At 37.1% G+C, this 25,707-nt stretch overlaps 1 protein-coding gene and 1 non-coding gene across 7 annotated transcripts in view; both read left to right on the plus strand.

Annotated features, from left to right (window-relative positions):
* Positions 1–25,707, plus strand: part of RAB3GAP1 (RAB3 GTPase activating protein catalytic subunit 1) — a 124,105-nt gene that overhangs the window by 73,111 nt on the left and 25,287 nt on the right. For 5 of the 6 annotated variants that reach the window (XR_001738674.3, XM_011510823.4, NM_001172435.2 and 2 more), the window contains exons 10-18: positions 779–847; positions 1,181–1,254; positions 4,593–4,685; positions 5,150–5,319; positions 7,493–7,582; positions 8,459–8,631; positions 9,863–9,917; positions 10,162–10,530; positions 24,967–25,104. Coding sequence is in view for 5 of the 6 variants with exons in the window: in XM_011510823.4 (XP_011509125.1) it covers positions 779–847; positions 1,181–1,254; positions 4,593–4,685; positions 5,150–5,319; positions 7,493–7,582; positions 8,459–8,631; positions 9,863–9,917; positions 10,162–10,530; positions 24,967–25,104 (1,231 nt within the window). In the remaining variant the exon portion in view is untranslated. Of the gene's footprint in view, positions 1–778; positions 848–1,180; positions 1,255–2,199; positions 2,261–4,592; positions 4,686–5,149; positions 5,320–7,492; positions 7,583–8,458; positions 8,632–9,862; positions 9,918–10,161; positions 10,531–24,966; positions 25,105–25,707 lie in introns of those variants that run through there. The other variant, XM_047443732.1, reaches the window with a different exon arrangement.
* SNORA40B (small nucleolar RNA, H/ACA box 40B) lies at positions 11,226–11,353 on the plus strand. Its single transcript, NR_145723.1, has one exon. It is a non-coding gene; the product is annotated as a small nucleolar RNA, H/ACA box 40B (small nucleolar RNA).

Genomic DNA, 25,707 nt, shown 5'->3' on the forward strand with positions numbered 1-25,707 from the left:
GTAGTAAAATTTAATTTATAAATTTGGCACAGTAAGATTTCCAGGTGATGTAATACAAAATAAATAAATAAATGTAAATGAGGCATAGTAAGAGATTGACAATAATAACTAATAATAACATAGAACAGCTATAACAATATACCTTAATGAAAGTTATGTGAATGTGATCTGTCTCTCTCAATATATCTCATTGTACTATGCACACTCTTCTTGTGATCACTCTGATCACCAAGACAGTTACTAAGTGACTAACAGGGCAGGTAGCATAGACAGTGTAGGTACACTAGACAAAGGGATGATTCACCTAATGGGGTGGGATGGCACAAGATTTCATCATGCTACTCAGAACAACATGCAACTTTAAATTTATGGATTTTTTTTCTGGAATTTTTCACTTAATATTTTCAGACTGCAGTTGATTTAGGGTAACTGAAGCTGCAGAAAGTGAAGCTGTGGATAAGGAGGAACTAATGTACTTCTGTGCTTTTTATGGCTGTAAATATACCATTGTATGGATATGCCACATTTTGTTTATCCATTCATTAGTTGGTGGGTTATTTATGCTTTTTGGCTATTATGTATAATGAGATGAATGTTTGCAAAACATTAACTTCATAAGGATGTGCTACCATTTGCTAAATAAGTTGTTTCCAGTATGTTGTATTATAAATAATGCCACTGTAACATACTTTTATTTCCTTGGTATAGTTTTCTAGAAGTATTAAATATAATTGCTGAGTCAGTATTAAAGCTTTTGGGTATATTTTATGTTTTTTAGTGAACTCCATTTAGCTACTACATGGCCTCATCTGACCGAAGGGATCATTGTGGATAATGATGTTTATTCGTAAGTATGTTAAGAGTAGTAGTACACTGAGATTAAAAAACTTCAGTAGAATAACTCTCAAATTGCTAGTAATTTTTATATGCATTTTTTATTATTTTGTTTTGATTTTAGTGTTCCCTTTTGTGTTTTATTGTCTAAGGACTTTGATTTCTTATGATGTTATTTTTTAAAAACTTATCCAAATGGCTCCATGTATCTGGATAAGAGTAAGTTTAAGGGAGGCTAAATGGATTGCTTGTCCTTCTATGTTTTCATTAGACTGCATTTTAATAAGTTCATGAATCTTGCAGATTGTCATAATTAGGATTTTATATTTATTGGTTTGCATTTTAGTGATTTGGATCCTATTCAAGCTCCACATTGGTCTGTTAGAGTTCGAAAAGCTGAGAATCCTCAGTGTTTGCTAGGTAAGGTATATTATGCTCCTTTCCTGAAATACTGCTGATCTGCCTAACTTCCAAATCGGAGACACTGCATACATTCTTTATACTTTGTCACCTCTTCAGTTAACACCATGTAGGAAAAAAATCATTGCCAATAGCAGTGAATCCTTTTTTGAATAGTGCCAGCAAATTCTCCATTATTTTCTCATTATCTCAGCTTTATGTTTCTGATGCTTTTATTTACTTTTTTTTATTTATTTTTTATTTTTTGAGACGGAGTCTCTGTCAGGCTGGAGTGCAGTGGCATGTCTCGGCTCACTGCAACCTCTGCCTCCCGGGTTCAAGTGATTCTCCTCCCTCAGCCTCCCGAGTAGCTGGGACTACAGACGTGTGCCACCATGCCTGGCTAATTTTTTGTATTTTTAGTAGAGACGGGGTTTCACCGTGTTATCCAGGATAGTCTTGATCTCCTGACCTCGTGATCCGCCCGCCTCGGCCTCCCAAAGTGCTGAGATTACAGGCATGAGCCACCGCGCGGCCTTAAGATGCTTTTTCTTTTTTTTTTTTTTTTCCGGATGCTTTTATGTTACTCCCTTTCCTTCCTCCTGTGGCATAGTCTGCATCTTCTATTTCTGTTATTGAAGCCCTTTTTGCCTTTTGTTGCCCCTCTAGACGTGTGTTATCTGAAGAGCACTGTTTTGTTTGTTTGTTTGTTTGTTTGTTTGTTTTGAGAGGGAGTCTCACCCTGTCGCCCAGGCTGGAGTGCAGTGGCGCGATCTCGGCTCACTGTAAGCTCCGCCTCCCGGGTTCACGCCATTCTCCTGCTTCAGCCTCCGGAGTAGCTGGGACTATAGGCGCCCGCCACCACGCCCTTTAATTTTTTGTGTTTTTAGTAGAGACGGGGTTTCACCGTGTTAGCCAGGATGGTCTCGATCTCCTGACCTCATGATCCGCCCGCCTCGGCCTCCCAAGGTGCTGGGATTACAGACGTGAGCCGCCGCACCCGACCTGAAGAGCACTGTTTTTGACGGTGCGCTTTAGAGCCCTTCTATAGAGTTGTGTCACATCTGCAGCCTATTTTCTGATATGGGAAAAGAAATGTGAATAATCTTATACACCTCACAAGGTTATTTGAGGGATCAAGTGAAATAACACAAATGGAAGTACTTTGAAAAATATTAATTGCTATTCAGATAATATTATTGTGTCTTATGTCTGGGATTCGTCCCCTTCCCTTTTTTTAGGTGTATCTCTTCCATGAAGTCTTTTGAACCCATCTCCTCAGTGTGCCTTGTCATCTTTTTCCTCCTTATATTTAGTACACATGAAAATATTTTCTCCTTTTCTTTATGTTCATCCATGCTACCTTAACTCTCTATCACTTGATATATTACCATTTAACTGATGGAGTTACCAAAGATTTATTATGACAGTAATGATGCATTTCTCTAAAGCATTGTTTTCTTGGGCTCTTTATCATTCATATGCTATTTGTCAAATGCTGATTAGTAGCTGCCATTTGTGCTAACTATATAATAGTGAATACAAAGATGTATAAGGTATAAGTCCACCATTGGTGAATTTGTCTAGGGTGTTAGGGCAACAGTATAGGGTCAATGTCAAGAGTATTACAGTTGGACAGACCTCAGTTCAAATCCTGGATTCACCAGGTTGGTCAAGTTTCTTAATCTTTTTAAGCCCCAGAGTCCTCATAAATAAAATAGAGATAACACTAGTACTTACTTCATAGGGTTATTGGGAGGATCAAATGAGATTATGTACCTGTATGTATGTGTATATATCACTTTTAACAGTGCCTTTGTTATAGTAAATGAACAGTAAATGGTTTCTGTTGTTTAATCGTTGAATTACTACATATTATGTTTACGTACTAAGTTGCTTCTTAGTAACATTATTATTCCTCATCTTGTTACTGTATGGTAATTGCTGAGGACCTTAGAATTGAAAGTATTCTCATTTTAGTTTAACGTTCCATGATCTTACCCTACCTCTTTTAATATTTTGTATGACTAGATTATAGACTTTTCCTACCTTTCTGAAGAAGCCTCAAAAAAGTTATGGGTTAATTCAGAATTAGTTGGTGAATTATAAAATTTAGATGTACTTGATGTATCTTAGTACTGATAGTATTTGTTAAGCATTCATTTATTTGTGTAAACATTGTAGCTGTTCAGAAGATTCAAATCGCTTTACCTCTGTTTATAATATGACAGACAGCTGGGTGCAATGGCTCATGCCTATAATCCCAGCATTTTGAGAGGTCGAGGCAGGTGGATTGCTTGAGCCCGGGAGTTTGAGTCCAGCCTTGGCAACATGGCAAAACCTCGTCTCTACAAAAAATACAAAAATTAGCTGGGCATGGTGATGCACACATGTAGTCCCAGCCTACCCAGGAGGCTGAGGTGGGAGGATCACCTGAGCCTAGGAGGTCAAGGCTGCAGTGAGCCATGATCGTGCCACTGCACTCCAGCTTGGGCGACAGAGTAAGACCCTGTCTCAAAAATAATAGTAATAATGGGCCGGGCGCGGTGACTCACACTTGTAATCCCAGCACTTTGGGAGGCAGAGGCGGGCGGACCATGAGGTCAGGAGATCGAGACCATCCTGGCTAACACAGTGAAACCCCGTCTCTACTAAAAATACAAAAAATTAGCCAGGCGTGGTTGTGGGTGCCTGTAGTCCCAGCTACTTGGGAGGCTGAGGCAGGAGAATGGCGTGAACCTGGGAGGTGGAGCTTGCAGTGAGCCGAGATTGCGCCACTGCACTCCAGCCTGGGCGACAGAGCGAGACTCTGTCTCAAAAAAAAAAAAATAAAATAAATAAAAAATAATAGTAATAATGACGGAAAGAATACCATTAATATGTAGCAGAAACTGAAATATCTTTATCCTACATGATTTCCTAATCTTCTAGAAACATGTCTTTAGCGTTTCTTCTTAATTTTATTAATGGATTTAGATTCTAGTAGTGTAGCAGTTGGGGAAAGATTACTACATACTTAGAGTAAGTTCTTGTTACTTACATAACTTAATGACAAATGGATACTGTGTCTCATTGAGGCATATAGTAAGTACTATTAGGTACAGTTATTTTTTTCTTTCCTTCTAGATGGAATTCTAAGGAAAAGCTTTTTAAATATCCTGGGACATGGAGAGAAAGAAAAGAACAAGGCTACCTTTGATATAGGATTAATTTTTGTTTTTTTCAATGGAAAAACTGAATGGTTTTACTTTCTACCATATCTTAGTTAATAGCTTTTGTGGAAAGATGTACTTTAATTTATAGGACTGATTTTTTTTTTTTTCAGTTAAGTGTCAAAAATAACTTTTTTTCCTACATAGGTGATTTTGTCACTGAATTTTTTAAAATTTGCCGTCGAAAGGAGTCAACTGATGAGATTCTTGGACGATCTGCATTTGAGGAAGAAGGCAAAGGTAACCTACATTTTTTTTTAACATTACTTTCAAATGTCTTACTGTTTTTCCTTGGCACATTTTTCAGCAACTTTTCATCTGTTTTCTCATTTTGAATTAAGTTGGATAATCAAGTTTTGATGGACTAGACAGCTACAGTTCCTTTCCAGGCTGTACCCAGTGCTTGTTAAGACATTAAAGGCATTTAATAAGTTCTTTCCACCAAAAATGTAAAATATTTTGAAAAGCAGAGTTTTAGAGGTTAAATTTTGAAGTCTCCTAGGGAGAAATAATTTGTGTGACACCATTGTCACTCATGCTTGCACATAAAGCTGAACATGTATATTAATATTTTATAATTCCAAGACCATGTAACACTAGTAAAAAGAATGAGTAAAATATTCTATATAATCATCAATTTGTTCATCACTTTCACCTGCTGAGGTTGGTGATATAATTTATATTTATTTCTGTTCTTTTTATAGAAACTGCTGATATAACTCATGCTTTGTCAAAATTGACAGAGCCGGCATCAGTTCCAATTCATAAATTATCAGTTTCAAATATGGTACACACTGCAAAGAAGAAAATCCGAAAACACAGAGGTGTAGAGGAGTCACCGCTAAATAATGATGTTCTTAATACTATTCTCCTGGTAACTAAATGTTCTGTCTTTATAGGTCTATATGCAGAATCATTTATTCATTATATAGCCAGTTCCTTTTATGTGGTAGGCAGTGACCTTGGAATATACAATGAGTAAAACAGTTACCACATTTAGAAAATTCCTACTAGTTTAGTGGTGAGAAGGAAAGTAAATAGTAGTTGTGATACCATGTTGCATGTGAGAAATCTGGCAAGGGGGCTGTGAGAGCACAGCAGGGGTGCATTTGTCTCTGTCTGGGCAGTGGGAATCAGGGAAGGCTTCATGAAGAGGGACATTTGAGCTGAATCTTGATGAAAAGAAGGCTTTAGAAGCAGAGGAATAGCAGAGGTTCGAGAGCATGTTGAACGGTTGATATTTTGTAGGGTGCTTCCCAGACCATGACCAGGGTTGAGGCTGGAGAAGTAGCAGGTAACCTGCCATGCTGAAGCACTGGCTTTTATCTTGCAGTTTAAGTAGAAGATCAACATGATTAGAATTTTTTTATTTTTTATTTTATTTATTTATTTTTTTTGAGACGAAGTCTCGCTCTGTCACCCAGACTGGAGTGCAGTGGTGCATCTCGGCTCACTGCAACCTCCACCTCCTGGGTTCAAGCAATTCTCCTGCCTCAGCCTCCCTAGTAGCTGGGACTACAGTCACGTGCCACCATGCCTGGCTAATTTTTTTGTATTTTTTTTTAGTAGAGATAGGGTTTCACCGTGTTAGCCAGGATGGTCTCGATCTCCTGACCTCGTAATCCGCCCGCCTCGGCCTCCCAAACTGCTGGGATTACAGGCGTGAGCCACCGCACCTGGCCCCGGAAGTATATTTTTGAAGGATTGCTTTGACAACAGTTGAGAGAAAGCTTTTAGTGAGAATGAGAGGGAGATGAATAGAGAGCTAAGGTGGCTCCTAGGTATAACAGAGTGGAATGGCCCCAGCCTGGGGGCCATCCACACCATGGTTTAATGTCTGCATGACTTACTGCATGACTTTGAATAAGTCACTTCAGTTTCCTCATCTAGAAAATATGGCTAACAAAACCTTGCGAGATTGTTGTGAGGATTAAAGGATCTTCTGTGACACTGCCTGGCATATATGGGTCTTTGATAAATGATAGCTATTCTTAACTGTAATTGTGGTTAAAATCATACTCCCGGAAATTTGTGCATTAAGACAATCTTGGGAAAAACCTTCAAGAAAAGTGTTGAAAAGAAAACTGGAAACTTAATGTTAATCTTATCCCCTGCCATTTATCTGAACAAAACTCTTAGCCAACTTTTTAGCTTGTACATCGTAAGATGTAGGTAGTGATACTTAGCTCAAACAGTTGTATGAGAATAGGATAATGCTGGTAATTGTGCCTTATGGCACTTGGCACATAGTAGTTCATCTAATTTTTAAAAGTCTATTGGACATGTTCTATAATGTGTGGCAAAGTATACATAGTAAGAGGGATTACTAATCAGCAGTACCACAAAACAATTGAGAGGAACAGTGATAAAAGGACTGTAAATAAATGTCTATAGAGAGCCTCCTTCTTAAGACTGTATTCTTAAAAGAATGTTATTCAAATCATGTAGCTCAGTTGTCATGTACACTGGATTTTTTTTTGACCACTCGTACATGTACATATAAACAGAAACCACATGGAAAAGGTACATTGGTTATTATAGGTTTAGACTGCTTCCTACTTTCCAGGGGTATCATAAAATAAAGCTGTGGGTCTTGAATATCATCTCTTAGTAGTCTATATATGAAAGCCTGTGGATGATGTAACTCTTCAGATCCTCATGAGTACATGAGTGTTTTTAAATTGTCTTTTGTGGTTTTGTTTTTTAGATAGTAGTAACACTAAAAAAATGTAATGGCCTTGGGTGAGCATGAAGTCACAGTGATGAGATTTTGCTTTTGCACCTTTCAGCTTACAGAATCAAGTGATTACTTTTAAGAAAAAAATTCTAATTTCTAAAATTGGCTAGTCACTGAAACCTTGTATATTTTCAAAGAAAAATAGAAAAAATTTGAGAGTGTAGAACAAACTGGCCAATACAACTGGAACATTTCTATTGTTAGAGCAGCAAAACCATTAAAAAGTTAAATAATGTCTATATGAGTTATAAAAATCAACAAAATAGGAAATGTGGTCTAAAATGTGATTATTTTTTTCCTTTCCTTCAAGTTCTTATTCCCTGATGCTGTTTCTGAGAAACCATTAGATGGAACTACTTCAACAGATAATAATAATCCTCCATCAGAGAGTGAAGACTATGTAAGTTGATGTGGAGTTCAATGTTAAAATGTTTTAAATGCACTGAATTTCTAGAGGTTCTATATATTTCTAGTTTAATAGCTTACTATATTTTTATTTTAAAAATCACCTTGGGAATTTTGGATGGCAGATCGTGGTTTCCACTTAGATAACTAGCACAGATACATATTTTGGGTAGCAAGAATTTTTCTGGAAACAATGAAAAAATAGCACAAATATACTCTACACAGCTGTAGGATTTCCCTCATTGTAGAGTTTTGGTGAAATCATTAAATTTGTGTTTCTCAGCAGATTCTTTTTGATATTTTAAAACTAGTTAGTGAATGGACAACTCTTTAATGAAGTAAAATGTGTAAAATTAGGTAAAATTTTCATGGTCTCTTTGTCTAGTCTTTGAAAAATTAAGAAGTTGAAGAATTTAAATGACAAGTGTAGATATATATCAACCTTTACAGTAGTTATTGTTGAGAAGTAGATTTGATGAGGTGAGAGAAAAAAGCAAAGGCTTTTTACATTTTCAGTTTAGATAGTTATGATTTTTGTTTTTTCAGACGTGCTCATTTTTGTAATTAAAAGATTTTTAAAACAACACATGAAATTTGGAATACTTCCTAAATATTCCACAGAAGAAATTGAAAGCTGTAACTTTAGCTTCATTAAACTATAGCTTTATCTTTTTTAATCTTAGTAGAAATCTTGAAAATGTGGGACTTCCTAAGAATAGTTTATGCAGTAGTGTATTAGACATTTGATAATGCCTAGTTTAGGTGGGATAGGTTAATTTTACAATTAAAATCTCTCCCTACGACCTTTTCAGTTATATGTGTAAAATATTTTGGTAACAAGTTTGCTTTGTTTCTATTTTGTTAAATTTAGAATCTCTACAATCAGTTCAAGTCTGCACCATCTGACAGTTTAACATACAAACTGGCTTTGTGTCTCTGTATGATCAATTTTTACCATGGAGGGTTGAAAGGAGTGGCACACCTCTGGCAGGAATTTGTTCTTGAAATGCGTTTCCGATGGGAAAACAACTTTCTGATTCCAGGGTAATAATTTCAATTTTCAATTGTTTGGATACGATTTTGTTTGTTAGCAGACATTTGACTTTTGACCTATTTTTTCCCCCTTCTAGGAAGTCTGCCCTAAGAAAGTGGCAAGAAGCTTAGACATGATTTATGTTCAGAGGTGTTCACTGCAGCAAATTTATTAATATAATAGAAAAAAAGGCAAAACCTAAATATCAAACATAAAAGAATAGTTAAATAAATTATACTGTATCTCTACAATAGAAAATTAGATTGATTACAGTTTTTCCCCCAATAATCTTTAATAACAGATGTTCATATTGTTTCTAATAAAGTAGAATATTTTAATGCATATACAAAGTACTTTTAATTATGTTGCTATATTTGTACAGGAAAAATATTATAAATACTGTGAAATGCTATCAGTTTTTCCCAGTGTGAAATTATACTTTTATTTTGTTCTTTATACTTTTATGCATTTTCAAAGTCTTTTGTAATAAACCTGTTTTTTGTAATTGACATTTTACTTAATCAAACAGAACATTTTCATTAGCACATAGGTTGATATTGCATAGTTTAGTGCTCATCTACCCATGCTATGATAGGAGAATCATGATTTTGAGCAATATAAAATGATTACTGATCCAAAAACATTTATATCATTTGCCAATCTCTGCTTAGCTGGATTCTCTCTTGGTTTTAGACAGTCCGCTCTGGAACATTTTACAGACCCAGAAGCATGTTGAATATGAGGGAGTGCCTCTGGCTGATTGCTGGGAACCTAGTAGTCTAGAGGAACCTAGAACTAGAGACAGTCCAAGGTCCTATTGAAATACAGGTGGAGATCTTGGTTTTTATAGTGAGAATCCACTGTAAGAATTTAGTACTGAATACACAAACTGATTTATTTTGTATGGTGTGAAATACTGTATGCTAGTACTTCCTGGAGTGGGTTCAGGGGCTTTTTCTCATTTTGAGTTTTTGTTAGCCTGAAAACTATCACTAATTTGCTGTTATGTTTTGAAATATCTATTATATTTGCTATTGGTGATTTGTGGACAAGGAGTATAAAATAAATTTTCATCTTTTAATTCTATGTGCTCCCCCTCTGGAATTCACTTACCTTACCTGTGGAAATCTAGTTTTGATTTCTTATCAATATAGCTAAAAATTATGGTAGTATAGAAAATAATCATATCTGAAGCAATTTTACTAAAACTAAGCTTTCTTTTCTCCTTACTTTATTTGATAGATTAGCAAGTGGACCCCCAGATCTGAGGTGTTGTTTACTGCATCAGAAACTACAGGTAAAGATTTCTCAATGACATGGATAAATGTGGTCTTGATTTAATCAGATTATTCTAATACTAAATGTAATAATGGGTTACATGCTGTTCTCATGGTGCTGCTGTAGGTTGCCTATAGTCAGTAGTCACTGCAATTCACAAGGTCCTGAGAAGTGGAGAGTGAAAATTAAATATTCAAGCAGTAGGTAGATTTTTATTTTTCTGTAACTAATTCAACTATAAATGTTATTTCTCTTTTCTTAAGATGTTAAATTGTTGTATTGAAAGAAAGAAGGCACGTGATGAGGGGAAAAAGACAAGTGCTTCAGATGTCACTAATATATATCCAGGGGATGCTGGAAAAGCAGGAGACCAGTTGGTGCCAGATAATCTAAAAGAAACAGATAAGGAAAAGGGAGAGGTAGGAAAATCTTGGGATTCCTGGAGTGACAGCGAAGAAGAATTTTTTGAATGCCTAAGTGATACTGAAGAACTTAAAGGAAATGGACAAGAGAGTGGCAAGAAAGGAGGACCTAAGGAGATGGCAAATTTAAGGCCGGAAGGACGGCTCTATCAGCATGGGAAACTTACACTGCTGCATAATGGAGAACCTCTCTACATTCCAGTAACCCAGGTAGGATGCACTAGTTCTTTCCATTTTAATTTATTTTGTGGTTTATATAACTTCATCCTAGTAGAAGATAGTGCTTTGAGTAAGGAAAATTATCCAAAAAGTCTATGTTTAGGCCAGATGCGGTGGCTTACGCCTGTAATCCCAGCACTTTGGGAGGCTGAGGTGGGCAGATCACCTGAGGTCAGGAGTTCAAGATAAGTCTGGCCAACATGGTGAAACCCTGTCTCTACTAAAAGTACAAAAATTAGCTGGGCACAGTGGCGCACACCTGTAGTTCCAGCTACTGGGGAGGCTGAGGCAGGAGAATCATTTGAACCCAGCAGTGGGAGGTTGCAGTGAGCCGAGATTGCACCACTGCACTCCAGCCTGGGCAACAGAGCAAGACTCTTGTCTCAAAAGAAAAAAAAAGTGTTTATGTTTAAAGATAAAGATATAGACTGTTTAAAGAAACTAAAGGTAAGGATTTCCCAATGACATAGATAAATGTGGTCTTGATTTAATCAAGGACCTTTAAAAGATTGGACAAAGTCTATGTTTAAAGATTAAAGAAATCTAAATAAACTTTTGGGGCTTTTAGGTTTGCCATTTCTGTAATTGAGAAATGTTTTGAAGTTTAAGTAGATCACGTCATCATATATAAGGTGATTTATAAACTGAGCAGTGAATGCTCAGATGTTTAAAAAAGAAAATCCAACTGCACTTATGTATGTTTTTGTTTAACTTGTGGACAAAGACTTATGGATAGGTGCAAAAAATAAATCCTCTTTTGCAACCCAGAACTCATTGTTCAGTATGAGTTTTGATACATATAAGAAGGGATATTATGATACCTGAGACAGTTAACTGATGGGAATATTGATAGCCATAAAGGTTGGTCCCAGACCAGGCACAATGGCTCAAGCCTGCAAGCCCCACACCAAGGTGGGAGTATTGCTTGAAGCCAGGAGTTCAAGACCAGCCTGTATAAGAAAGTAACAAACACCTCATCTCCACAAAAATTTAAAAATTAGCTGAGTATTGGGGCATGTGTCTGTAGTTGCAGCTACTCAGGAAGAGGAGGCTGAGGCAAGAGTATTGAGCCCAGGAGTTGGAGGCTGCACTGAGCTTTGATGACACCACTGTACTCCAGCCTGGGTAACAAAGACAGACCCTGTCTCTTAATTAAAAAAGATTGATTCTAGGACTGTGGAAGAGATAGTTAAACAGCATGGGATATGAAGGAAATCCTCAGCAGTATTAATTTTGCATTCCAATTTCATGTTGACTTGATACCTACGATGGCTTTTTGTTTTAAAGGCTTTTATCTTGAGAACATGATGTCTGTAGTTAAAGGTATTGGCGTATTCCACACATCTGTACTATTCTTGAGTATGATCGCTTAGGGTGTCAAATTGAGAACCAGGCAGATCCACCACCTACAGTAAAAAGGACCCTAAAGTAAATTGGTTGAAGAAGTTAGATCCCAAAGATTCTTGGTGAATTTTGAAGTCTTCATCAGTATATCCATATTAAAAGGAGATGACAGAAGCCAAAATAAAAGAATTATGGGCTAACAGGACAGCTGGATTAAAATAAGCATCAGTTTCATTAAAAAGGGCTAACTTGAAGATAAATCTTTTGACTCCAGCTCTTTAGAGGATCTGAAGTGACCTTGATGGACAGTGGAAGAAATCACAACATGGAATTACTTGAACAAAAATTTATTGACTTAAAGAAAAAGAAAAAATCCAAAAATATATAGAGAGAACAAAAGTAAATATCCTTCAATTATATGATTAGCTTTTATCTGTTCAAAAATAGTTTGAAGTCATATACACCATTAGGATGTAGAACAGCAATAACTCAACAACAACAGCAGCAATAGTTGTTTTTAAGGGTTTTGTTTTGTTTTTTTTTTGTTGTTTTTTTTTTGACACAGAGTCTCTCTTTGTCACCCAGGTGGGAGTGCAGTGGCATGACTGTAGCTTACTGCAGCCTTGACCTCCTGGGATCAAGTGATCCTCCCACCGCAGCTTCTCAAGTAGCTGGAACTACAGGTGCATGCCACCATGCCTGGCTAATTTTTCGTGGTTTTTATAGAGGTGGGGTTTTGCCCTGTTGTCCAGGCTTGTCTTAAATTCCTGAACTCAAGCCATCTGCCTGCCTCAGCCTCCCAAAGTGCTAGGATTACAGACATGATCCACTGCACCCGGCCTGAAAACATTCTATTGTGAAAATTGTAATCTAGTAAAAATGAAAGAGGCTCAACGCCTGTAATCCCAACACTTTGGGAGGCCGAGGTGGGGTTGGATTGCTTGAGCCCAGGAATTCAAGACCAGCCTGGGCAACATGGTAAACCCTATTTCTACCAAAAAAAAAAAAAAAAAAATTAGCCGACTGGGGTAGCGTACACCTGTAGTCCCAGCTACTCGGGAGGCTGAGGTAGAAGAATCAATTGAGCCCGGGAGGTTAAGGCTGCAGTGAGCTATGATTGTGTCACTGTTCTCCAGCCTGGGCAACAGAGCAAGACCCTGTCTCAAAAAAATAAAAAGTGAAAGCCACCATCCACTAATTTTGACTTGCATTCCTTGAAGTAACTAACAAGTATTATTGGTTTGGGTTATATTTCTTATAACTGTTTCTCTGCATTGATGTATAATACATATATGTGTGTACATATTAATACATGGTTTTATGGATTTTTTTTTTTTTTTGGAGACAGGATCTCATTCTGTTGCATAGGCTGGAATGCAGTGGCATGATCATGGCTCACTGCAGCCTTGACTTGCTGGGCTCAAGTGATCCTCTGACCTTAGCCTCCTAGGTAGCTGGGACTACAAGTGCTCACCACCATGCCAGGCTGATTTTTTCACTTTTAAAATTTTTGTAAAGATGGAGTCTTGCTATGTTGCCCAAGCTGGTCCTAAACTCCTGACCTCAAGCAATCCTCTGTTTCGGCCTCCCAAAGTGCTGGGATTATAGGCATGAGCCACTGTGCCCAGCCTCAATTTCTTATAAACAATTGGTATTACCAACCATATAAATTTTTGTTAACATGATGGTCAAAAGTAGTATCTCAGTGTTTTAGATTGTATTTTTCTGAATTTTCATGAACCTGAGCATCTTTTAATATGTTCGTTAGCCGTCCTTTCCTGTGAATCGCCTATGATTTTTCTTTTAGGTTGCTCCCCTGTTCTTATTGATTCATATGAATTCTTCATATTTTAGATGTGAATCTACAGTTATATATATTGTATATGTTTTCTGCTAGTCATTTTAAAAACATATGTTCATGTATTTACTTAATTATTGAGTTATAACTTAATACAATAAAGTGTACAGATCTTGGCTGGGCATGGTAGCTCATGCCTGTAATCCCAGCACTTTGGGAGGCCAAGGTGGGCAGATTGCTTAAGCTCAAAAGTTCAAGACCAGCCTGAGGAACATGACAAAACCCCGTCTCTACAAAAAATACAGAAATTAGCCGAGCGTGGTGGTGTATGGCTGTAGACCCAGCTACTTGGGAGGCTCAGGTGGGAGGATGGCTTGGGTCCGGGAGGCAGAGGTTGCAGTGAACTATGATTGCACCATTGCACTCCAGCCTGGGCAACAGAGCAAGACCCTGTCTCAAAAATTAAAAAAAAAAAAAATAAAAAGTGCACAAATCTTTAGTATACTGCTTGGTGAATTTTTTCATATTGATACATGCATATAACTACTTCCCAGATCAAGATACAGAAAATTCCCATCATCCTAGAACAGTGCTGATAAATAAAACTTTCTGTGAAGATGGAAATTCTCTACATTCTCTGTCTTTCCCATTCAATACAATAGCCATTATCCAAATGTAACTACTGAGTGCTTGAAATGTGGCTAATGTTTCTAAGGAATTAAATTTTTAATTTTAATTTATTTAAATTAAATAGCCAGATGTATTGGATAGTGAAGCCCAGGATTCCCCTCCAGCAACTCTTTCTCTTAACTTTTGTCACCATAGGTTAGCTTTGTCAGTTTTTGAACCTTTTAAATGGCATGCTTTGCTTACTCTTTTGTATATAAATGTAATCATACATTGTGTACTCTTTCGTTGTATAATCATACATTATATACCATTGAGCTTTTTTATTTACCGATTTTGAGAGTCATCCTTGTTGTTGCAGGCTTCAGTGTTTGTGCATGTGTTATTAGTATTCTATTCTATGAATTTGTCACAATTTGTTTATCCATTCACCCGTTGATGGGTATTTGGGTTGTTTTCACTTTGGGCTAATATGAATAAAGCTGCTGTGAACATTCTTGTTTCTTTTGGTAGACAAAGGCACTCATTTTCTTTTGGATATATTCCTAAGAGTAGAGTTATTGGGCTATATGGTGCAAATATGTTTTGGCTTTAGTAGATCTATCTAAATAGTCTGTCTAAGTGGTTGAACTAGTTAACCTTCTCACCAACAATTTATAGTAGTATAGTTATTCTACAGAATCCTCCCCATTTGATGTGTTCTCAAGACCACTCCCAGGTTTAGTGATTTTCTAGGAAGACTCATAAGACTTAGCCCATAATCATGCTCGTGGCTATAATTTATTACAAGAAGATCAGCAAAGAGAAAAGGCACATGGGATGAAGTTTGAAAGAGATGAGGTTTAAGCTTCCAAAAAGCTTCCCCTACTGTAGTTACACAGAGTGCACTTAATTCCTGTTGCAACAAATTGTGACCACATGTGTGAAATGTTGTCTTCCCTGGGAAGCTTGTTAGAGGCACAGCAGTGGGAGTTATCAGTAGGGGCTGGTCAAGTAGGCATCCTTTGCTTAGGCATAGGGTTAACCATACCAAAATCTAGACTCCCATAAAGAAAGTAGGTGTTTAGCATAAACCATATTATTTGCACAAAGTGTTTAGGCATAGTGAGTCATTTTTATCAGTTCTGGGAATGGTGGGAACCTTCTCAAAATCCAGGTTCTCAGCTGCCAGCCAAGGGCCAACTTTCAAGCAGGCCTTTCTAAGAATGGCAGTCTCAGACCTGCAATATTAACTCTTTTCTGCACACTTGATATTTTTGGTCATTTTAATTTTTGCCTTTCTGAAGGGTAGGAGGTAGGATCTTGTGGTTTTACATTTTCCTGAAGCATATATATATTTATTGCCCATTTGTCTATCTTCTTGGTGAAAAGCCTGTTCAAGGCCTTTGCCTATTTTTTTCTTAAAGCAGTTGTCTTTTTTTTTCTTATTACTTTATAGGAATTCTTCATATATTCTGGATATGAGTCCTTAGATACTTGTATTGCAAATATTTTGTTGCTTATCTATTCACTTACTTCTTTTTTTTTTTTTTTTGAGACAGTCTCACTCTGTCATCCAGGCTGGAGTGCAGTGGTGTGGTCTCGGCTCACTGCAGCCTGAGTCTTCCGGGTTCAAGCGATTCTCCTGCCTCAGCCTCCCGAGTAGCTGGGACTACAGGAGTGTGCCACCATACCTGGCTAATTTTTTGTATTTTTAGTAGAGATGGGGTTTCACTATGTTGGCCAGGCTGGTCTCGAACTCCTGACCTCGTGATCTGCCTGTCTGGGCCTCCCAAAGTGCTGGGATTATAGGTGTGAGCCACCGCGCCTGGCCTGTTCACTTTCTTAATGATGCCTTGGGTTGAAGAGGTGTTCTTAATTTTAATACAGTCTCATCTATCCTTGTTTTTCTTATGTGGTTAGTGCTTTTTGTGTTCTGCTTAAGAACTCTTTACCAAGTACTGAAGATATTTTCTTTTCTTTTGGAAGCTTTATTGTTTTACCTATATCATTTGTTTGTGACCCACCTCAAATTAATTGTTTGGTAAGAGGAACAGGTTAAGATTCTCTTTTCTCTATAGGGAGATTGAATTGTTCCACCACCACTGTTGAAAAGATCTGCCTTTTCCCATTGAGTGGCAGTGATATCTTTGATGTAAATCAAGCAACTGTATGTGTTTTGGTCTATTTCTGGACTATTTATTCTGTTCCGTTGGTCTCTGTCGTGTGCCAGTAATGTACTGTCATCATTATTGTAGCTTTATAATAAGTCTATCTGGTAGTGTAAATCTTCTAACTTTGTTACTCTTCAACATTATCTTAGCTATTCTAGGTCCTTTGCATTGTTATATCAATTTGAGAATCAGCTTGTTAATTTTTATAAACAAACACATATTCAAAATCTTGCTGGGATTTTAATTCAGATTGCATTGAATTTGTAGATCAATTTATGGAGAATTGACATCTTAATATTGAGTCCATTAAATATCTTCAATTTTATTTAAAGTTTCTGTTCATTTATCTCATTAGTGTTTTAGTTTTCAATGTAGAGGTCTTACATATCTTTCATTAGATATATTTCCAAGGTATTTGTAATTTCTTAAATGGTTTTATAAATGGTATTTTAAAAGTTCATTTTCCAATTTTTTTCCCTTGATAGATATAAACAGTTGATTTTTATATATTGACCTTGGATATAACAATCTTGCTACATTGACTTATTAGTAGTTTAGAGATTATTTGGAGTTTTCTACATACACAATCATGTCGTCTTTTAGTAAAGATGATTTGAATTCTGATTTTGCAATCTTTATGCTTTTGAATTACTTTTCTTATCTTATTGCAGTGGCTAGGACCTCCAGTACAGTGTTGAATACTGGACATTATTCTCTTGTTCCCAACCTCAGAAAGAAAGCATATGATAGTCATTGAAGGCACCTGATGTAGATATCACTTATCATATTAAGGAAGTTCCATTCCTAGTTTGCTTAGAGTTTTGTTTTTTGTTTTTTTTTTAATCATGAACAGGTATTGCATTTTATCAAATGTTTTCCTGTATATTAAGGTAATCCTATTTTATTCTCCCTTATTCCATTAATGTGGTTAATTGCATTGATTGATTTTTGAGTATTAAAACATCCTTACATTCCTGGTATATATCCCACTTGGGCTTTCCCTTTTTATACAGCTGGAGTTTATTTTTTTTTTTTTTAGGATTTTTATATTCATATGTCAGAGGTATTGACCTTTATTATGTTGTCCTTGTCAGGGAAGTGTCCCCTCTTTTTCTCTTCTCTGGACAAATTTGTATAAATAAGATTTTACTTCTTCTTCAAATGTTGAACATATTCACCAGTGAAACCACTCAGAATCTGAAGTTTTGTTTGTAGAAATATTTTCAAATATAGACTTACTTTTAAATTAGATTTCTTTAATAGATAAAAAACTATTCTTATTTTTTATTTCTTGTATCAACTTTGGCAAATAGTGTTTTTCAAGTAATTTTTTATTTTTCTAAATTTTATATTTACTGGCATAAATTATTTCATAGTATTCTTTTATAATCTTTTTAGTGATTATAGAATCTATAATGATATTGCAGTTTTAATTTTTAAAATTGGCATTTGGTATATTATCTCTTTTGTTCCTGATCTATAAGAGGGTTTTATTAATTTTATGAATCTTTCCCCTGAAAAAACAACTTTGGGTTTTGTTGATTTTTCTCTGTTGATTTTGTTTTCTATTTCATTGATTTCTTCTATTATTTCTTTGCTTCTACTTTCCTTAGAACTAATCTGCTATTTTTCTAACTTGTTTTATTAGCAGCATAGGTAATTGATATTCAACCTTTCTTCTGTAACATGCTACTTTTTTTTTTTTTTTTTTTGAGACGGAGTCTTGCTCTGTCCCCCAGGCTGGAGTGCAGTGGTGCGATCTCGGCTCACTGCAAGCTCCGCTTCCCAGGTTCATGCCATTGTCCTGCCTCAGCCTCCTGAGTAGCTGGGACTACAGGTGCCCACCACCACGCCTGGCTAATTTTTTGTATTTTTAGTAGAGACGGGGTTTCACCATGTTAGCCAGGATGGTCTCGATCTCCTGACCCGCCCGCCTCGGCCTCCCAAAGTGCTGGGATTACAGGCGTGAGCCACTGTGTCCGGCCCTAACATGTTACATTTTAAGCAGTCTCCTTAATTTGGGACTCAGATGTCATAATTCCTGAATATGTTCTCTTAACTCTTGCCTCTTCACTGTTTGTTCATACATTTTATCTTTTTGCATAGTGACACAGGAATTTTCTTGGCCACTTTGCCCGCTGGGGCCCTCTGTGGCTGGCAATGCTTCTGCCCAGGCCTCACTCAGCCCTGGGCCTGCCGCAGGAGGTGCTCTGTCCGCCAGGCTTGTGCACCAGCTTAGCTCTCAGCTGGGCTGAGCATGCCCTAACTCAAGCGTGCCCTAACCCACTTGTGTTACAGCTTGTACCCACATTCAGTGGGTCCCGAGTTCTTGTCCCACATCCAAGAAGAATGAATTTACGTTGACAATCAAAGGGTAAGGAAGGTGGAGAAGAATTTTATTGAGTGACAGAAACAGCTCTCAGCCAAAAGGGGCTGCGAGGGTGGTCTCCCACCTGAAGTCGGGTGGTTTCTCTCTAAGTATGGCTGGGTCCAGAGCTTTTATGGGCTCAGAATGGGGAGTGCTTGCTGATTGGTTTGCGAGTACGCAAAATGGGCTAAAACAAAGGCACCACTCAAAGGGGGGCATGACAATGTATAAAACCAAGTAGGGAAGGATAGGTGTATGTAAATAGGTGAAGGGTGAGGATTACTCAGAGGAAAGCATGCCAAGTAGGAAGAGAGTTTCTCAATCCAGTCTGTGGATTTACCCAGAACTTGTACCATGGCTTTCAGGCTTTCAACTATCTTTGTTTGAAGGTCAGATTTCACTGAGGACCTGCCTCTTACCTGCCTAGGCATTTGACTTTTTGCTGCCACTGTCAGTAGCATTATGGGAGAATCTTTTGACAACTTTTGTTTATTCCATTTGCCATTTGTGTTTTGTGTTTCCTTGTTTTGGGGGATTTATCACACTTTCATTTCCAAGTCCTAAAAATGATTCTTTTCTTGTAAAGAAAATGGTTCTTGTGTTGTAAATGCGGTATTCTCTCTTGCCTCTGAACTTTCCAGTTTCCTCTTACAGAGTCTTAATTTGCCATTGCACACAAGATGGTTGTACTGACAAATTACTGTTGATGAAATAAAGTTATTATCCTGAACTTTCTTTTAGAAAATGTGCTATTGTAGAGTAACAGTGGTTTATTTGCCATTTGCTAAGTCAATACTAACAGAGTTTTGCTTAATATTTTTGGTATTTATTCTTTAAAATTTGCTTATTGGTACATAATATTTGTACATTTTTATGGGGTACATATGCTATTTTGTTACATGCATAGAAAGCGTAATGATCAAGTCAGGGTGTTTGGAGTATCAATCGCCTTGATAGGTGATTGATAAATCTGTCACTTATTTATCATTTTTATGAGTTAGGAACATTTCAAATTTTTTCTCCTAAGTTATTTTGCAACACACAATACATTGTTGTTAACCATAGTTACCCTACTTTACTATTGAACATTAGAACTTATTCCTTCTATCTGTTTGTATCCATTAGCTAACCTCTCTTCATACCACCCCTCACCAACACACACACACATACACACACACACACACACACACACTTCTTAACCTCTAGTAATTATTCTAATTTTATGTAGTTTTTATTTCGTTTGCTTTAAGCCTACCAAACCTATAAGGAGTCACAGCATGATAGTTAGGAATACTGTCAGTGGAGTTAGATTGCCTGAGTTCAAATTCCATTTCTACCATTTAGCATATGTATGGATTGGGGTCATTATTTAATCTTTCTTTGCCTTAGTTTTTTCAACTATAAGTTCATAGTACTTCTTAACATCATTTAAATGAAATAGTACCTGATGAGTGATTAACATAATGTCTAATTCAAAATAAACACTTAAATTTTAGCTATTATTCTTCTGGAACATTTTCTTATATAAGTGGCTATTATTGCCCGTCAAGATGCAAGGATTACTTAGTTTTTGCAACTAGTCTTTATATTCTGAAATGGGTTGATGAATTATAATATTTGTACAAGGAGTTGTGTGCTTTCTGTTCTAGCCCTCAACTTGGATTTTGTGTGGTATGTGATAATATGCTTTAATAGTCATGAATTTTAATAAAGTACCAGGTATAGTGAAATAAATAATAATTTGAAACATGGATTCTGTTAACTTTATTATCCATGCCTATATTCTTTATTTACCAGGCATAATTTACTAGCTTTGGTTTTTGTTTTGTTTTTGATAGCCCATATGCTATTTGCTTTATTATACCTTTTTAAAAGTAAGTCAGAGTTTAGGTTTCTCATGATTAAATTTTAGTATTAGAACAGAATCTTTTAATGCTAGAAACCAAGTGTATAAGTGCATATTTGTTCTTTTTTTTTTTTTTTTTTTTTTTGAGACAAGGTCTTGCTCTGTCACCCAGGGCTGGAGTGCAGTGGTGCGATCATGATCTTGTCTCACTGCAACTTCTGCCTGCTGAGTTCAAGTGATTCTTGTGCCTCAGCCTCCTGAGTAGCTGGGATTACAGGTGCCCGCCACTAAGCCTGACTAATTTTTGTATTTTTAATAGAAATGGGATTTCACCATTTTGGTCAGGCTGGTCTTGAACTCCTGACCTCAAGTGATCTGCTCGCCTAGGCCTCCCAAACTGCTGGGATTACAGGCTTGAGCCACCGCCCCTGACTCCAAATGAATATTTGTTCTAATCTTGCTATGGCGAATGCAGTTGGTATTGAGGTCTTGTATAGACCTGGGTTTTAGGATGTAGCAGAACTGGATTAATATCCTGCATCACCATTTATTAACAGCATTGCTAATACAAGCTATGTTTCCTTTCTGAGCCTTGTTTTTCTCATCTTAAAAAACAGTAATAGATTAATTTGCGCATTCTAGAATTTTATGCAAATGGAATAACATTTTTTGTGTGCATTCTTTCAGCATAATTATCTTGAGATTCACACGTATTGTATGTATCAATAGTTCATGCACATTTTTAGGTTTAGTCGTATTCCCTTGCATGGATATACAAGTTTGTTTATCCATTCACTCTTGATAAACATTCCAAAAATAATGGGCATAAGGAAATTTCTGAGGTGATGAATACATTCAGTATGTTGATTATGTGATTATTTCAAGGGGGTATAAACACACACACACACACACACACACACACGAAAATTTATCAAATGTGCCTTTAAATTATTGTATGTTGATTCTACTTCTAAAAAGTTGTTTAGGGCTGGGTGAGGTCGCTCACGCCTGTAATCCTAGCACTCTGAGAGGCCGAGGCAGGTGGATCACCTGAGGTCAGGAGTCCAAGACGAGCCTGGCCACCATGACGAAACCCTGTCTGTACTAAAAATACAAAAATTAGCTGGGCATGGTGGTGCATGTCTGTAGCCCCAGCAACTGGGGAGGCTGAGGCATGAGAATTGCTTGAACCCAGGAGGTGAAGGTTACAGTGAGCTGAGATCGCACCGCTGCACTTCAGCCTGGATGACAGAGTGAGACTCTGTCTCAAAAAAAAAAAAAAAATCTTTTAACAAAGGAAAAATGAAAGTTTCTATCTTGTTCTAACACTTCTGCAGTTTTAAAACCCTATTTCCTTATCTGTTTAATAAATAAATAAATACTGAATTCTTAAAAAGCAATAATAGTTTGTATTACTCTAGTTTGTTCAGGATTAAGTCACATATCATATTCGAAAACACTTGGCATGTAAGTGTTCAGCAAAAGTTAATTTTTTTGTATCCTTTCTCCTTCCAGATTTTAATTAATAGTAGTCCCCTCCCCCCCCCTTTTTTTTTTGACTCGGGGTCTCACTCTGTTGCCCAGGCTGAAGTGCACTCAATCATAGCTCACTGCAGCCTCAATCTCCCAGGCTCAAGCGGTCCTCCCACCTCAGCTTCCTGAGTAGCTAGAATTATTGGCGCCCACGACCATGCCCAGCTACTTATTTAATTTTTTGTAGAGACAGGGTCTTGCTTTGTTGCCCATATTGGAGTCCCTATTTTTAATAAGCTAATTGTACATTTGTTTTCTTGGTTTGACTGGGTTAATAAACAGTCTGAAAAAGTTATTTTGGAAGCTCAGGCTTCTTCTTTCCTGAAATAAAAATAATACTTTTTAAATTTAGTGCTTTATTTTTCTTCAAAAGGCTGTGCTCCCTCTCATTTCAGATGCTTGAATTTTCACATTTGAATTTATAGTCTAAATCTGGACTGACTTACTCTTCTTTCAGTGTGCATCTTATGTATTTAGAAATTAATTTTTATATTTTGCCTTTAGGTAAATCTAGGCAAAATTTTAGTCCATTTTACTTTCTTATTTTAAGGTTAATTTTATTTGAATTATGATCATTATAAGTGTACTTATATGAAATGGTTGGAATTCAAAATGATCCCAGTTGAAACCAATGTAATTTCAAGCTTTAGAAGTTAGCTCAAAATGTGCCATTAATCAGTTGCCTCTTCACTGAAAAATAATGACTTTATATAGTTGCTTCATAAGAATTCGAACATACTTCTGTGTTCCATTTATGTAGACTTAGGTCACAACATAAAATACATGGCTAGAAAAAGTTTGAAGACTTTACCCCAATATACTAGAGCCAGGGCTAGAAGAAAATGTCCTTACCCAGTGGATTGGAACCAAGCTAGTAATTCTTTTTTTTTTTTTTTTTTTTTGGTGACGGGATTCTCACTGTTACCGAGGCCTGAGTGCAGTGGCGTGATCTTGGCTTACTGCAACCTCTGCCTTCTGGGTTCAAGCGATTCTCCTGCCTCAGCCTCCTGAGTAGCTGAGATTACAGGTGTACACCATGCTTGGCTAATTTTTGTATCTTTTTTTTTTTTTTTTTTTTTTAAGTAGAGATGGGGTTTCGCCATGTTGGCCAGGCTGGGCTCGAACTCCTGACCTCAAATGATCCGTCCACCTCGGCCTCCCAAAGTGCTGGGATTACAGGCTTGAGCCATCACGCCCAGCCTCAAGCTAGTAATTCTTAAAGTCAGCATTAAACTGATGTCCTAGATTCTCTTTTCTGTTTGCTGCTTGGTAGTTTTGCCACTTGGTGATCCTGGGCAAGGCGCTTTATCTCTGCACCTCATTTTCATCACTTGCAAAATTCCCTTACCCCTCTCAGTGATCCCATGGGTCCATGAATATAAGAATGCTTTGGGCATATTCAGAAACAGTATATGTGAAAATGTATGGCCCACATGCAACTTGCTGCTTATTCTCCTCTTTATCATGTTCTTCTCCATTTATAAGTGGCTCAAATTTCCAAGTGGGAGAGATAGTCAGTGTCCTCTCAGTATCTATTTCCTTCCTTCCCATCCTGTGATTTCAGGGCTGTAGGCCAATGAAATGTAGCCCCTTCTTAATAGAAAGAATGAAGGCCTCTGCTCTTGAGTATACTCCTTCATGAGAGATTGAATATAATTTGTGAACTTGACTGAAATATTTTGAGAAGTATACTGACCCTTAGTCAAAGAGAAAGTATGAAGCCTATAATATAACCTAAGTATTTTATCTTTAATTGCTAGTATCTATCGAGCATGTGCCAGGATCTGTTCTTCACAACAGTGAGTCACAATGAGGGTTGAGTGATTGCCCAAGGTCACAAAGCTGGGATTCAAGCACATAGCATATAGTTTCTGGAGCCCAAGCTCTTAACCATTATACAATACTACATTACAGGTTGTTATTCAACCCTAAATCTCAGTGTGAGATTCTTGCTTGGTACTTGCAGGATAATTAAAAGTGATGCATGTTCATTGTAGAGAAAAAATAAAAACTCATAGTTTTATAACCAGAGATGATCATTGTTAGAGCAATTTTTTTTTGGAGACAGAGTCTCGCTCTGTTGCCCAGGCTGGAGTGCAGTGGCTCGATCTCGGCTTGCAGCAAGCTCCACCTCCTGGGTTCACGCCATTCTCTTGCCTCAGCCTCCTGAGTAGCTGGGACTACAGGTGCCCACCACCATGCCTGGCTAATTTTGTTTTTGTATTTTTAGTAGAGACAGGGTTTCACCGTGTTAGCCAGGATGGTCTCGATCTCCTGACCTCATGATCCACCCGCCTTGGCTTCCCAAAGTGCTGGGATTACAGGCATGAGCCACCGTGCCTGGCCCTGTTAGAGCAATTATTTCTATATCAAACCATTTCTATTACTTATAATTAAAATTTTGTTGCAGCTAGTGATGACATATATAATAATATCATTAGGACTTCATTTCTTTATCACTAATAGGCAGGAAAATGTTGCTCAGTGGACCCAAATTCCTCTGTCTTTTACTATCAATCCTTGTCAAGGGAAACATGGTAATCTTATCTGTGAGGGGGAGGAGGCCTGAAAGTGGTATTTATTTTTCTTAATTCTTTTTTATGTAAGTTCTAAAAAACTTATGCATTTCTCTGAATTTTTAAAAATACTCATCTTGTGACTGCTATAGCTGAAATGACTGTTGTCTTTATTCTATTTTTATGGTACTTCTTTTTCTAAAAAGGGCTGTTTATGAGCCTTGTCCTTTTGTGCTTCACAGGAACCAGCACCTATGACAGAAGATCTGCTAGAAGAGCAGTCTGAAGTTTTAGCTAAATTAGGTACATCGGCAGAGGGGGCTCACCTTCGAGCACGCATGCAGAGTGCCTGTCTGCTCTCAGATATGGAGTCTTTTAAGGTGGGTCACACTTGCAGAGCTCTGGGGTCTATTTTGAGCTATTCTGGGATGAAACTGTGAAAATCACTCTGTAAAGTGGTATAAAGGCCTGAATGTCTTTTTGTTAAGTGTTTGGATTTCATTAGTAGTTCAACACTCTGCCACCATCCCCCCAGAGGACATAGTCAAACTTGTTTCTTAAGTTTTAAAAAAGCAAAGATCTAGTATTATTAATAGTTGAAAGTTGAGAATAGAATCATTTCTATATGTGAATTGGAGTGGTTTCTTTGTTTGTGTTCAGCCAATTTAATGGAAGACTTTTAGGAAACTTAGGATTTAACATGGGTCACTTCACTCAATGAACTTTTGAGTGCCTATTGTGTACCTTGCACTGTGACTAGATGAGTTAAGAAATACAGTGTTTACCCTCAGTTACAGTTGATTGAGGTTGTGGGAGGAGATATGTAAGGAACTGTCATGAGTTCTCTTATGGAGGCAGGGTCAAAAAGACTGACTCTGCTGAGTAGGTCATGAAAGGTTTCTCAGAAGAGTCACTATTTCAGATGAGTAGGCATTTGCTATCTGAAGAATATTTTAGGGTTAGATACAGGTCTGTATTTCGAA

This window comes from Homo sapiens, chromosome 2 (genome assembly GCF_000001405.40).
Source record: "Homo sapiens chromosome 2, GRCh38.p14 Primary Assembly".
NCBI lineage: Eukaryota > Metazoa > Chordata > Mammalia > Primates > Hominidae > Homo > Homo sapiens.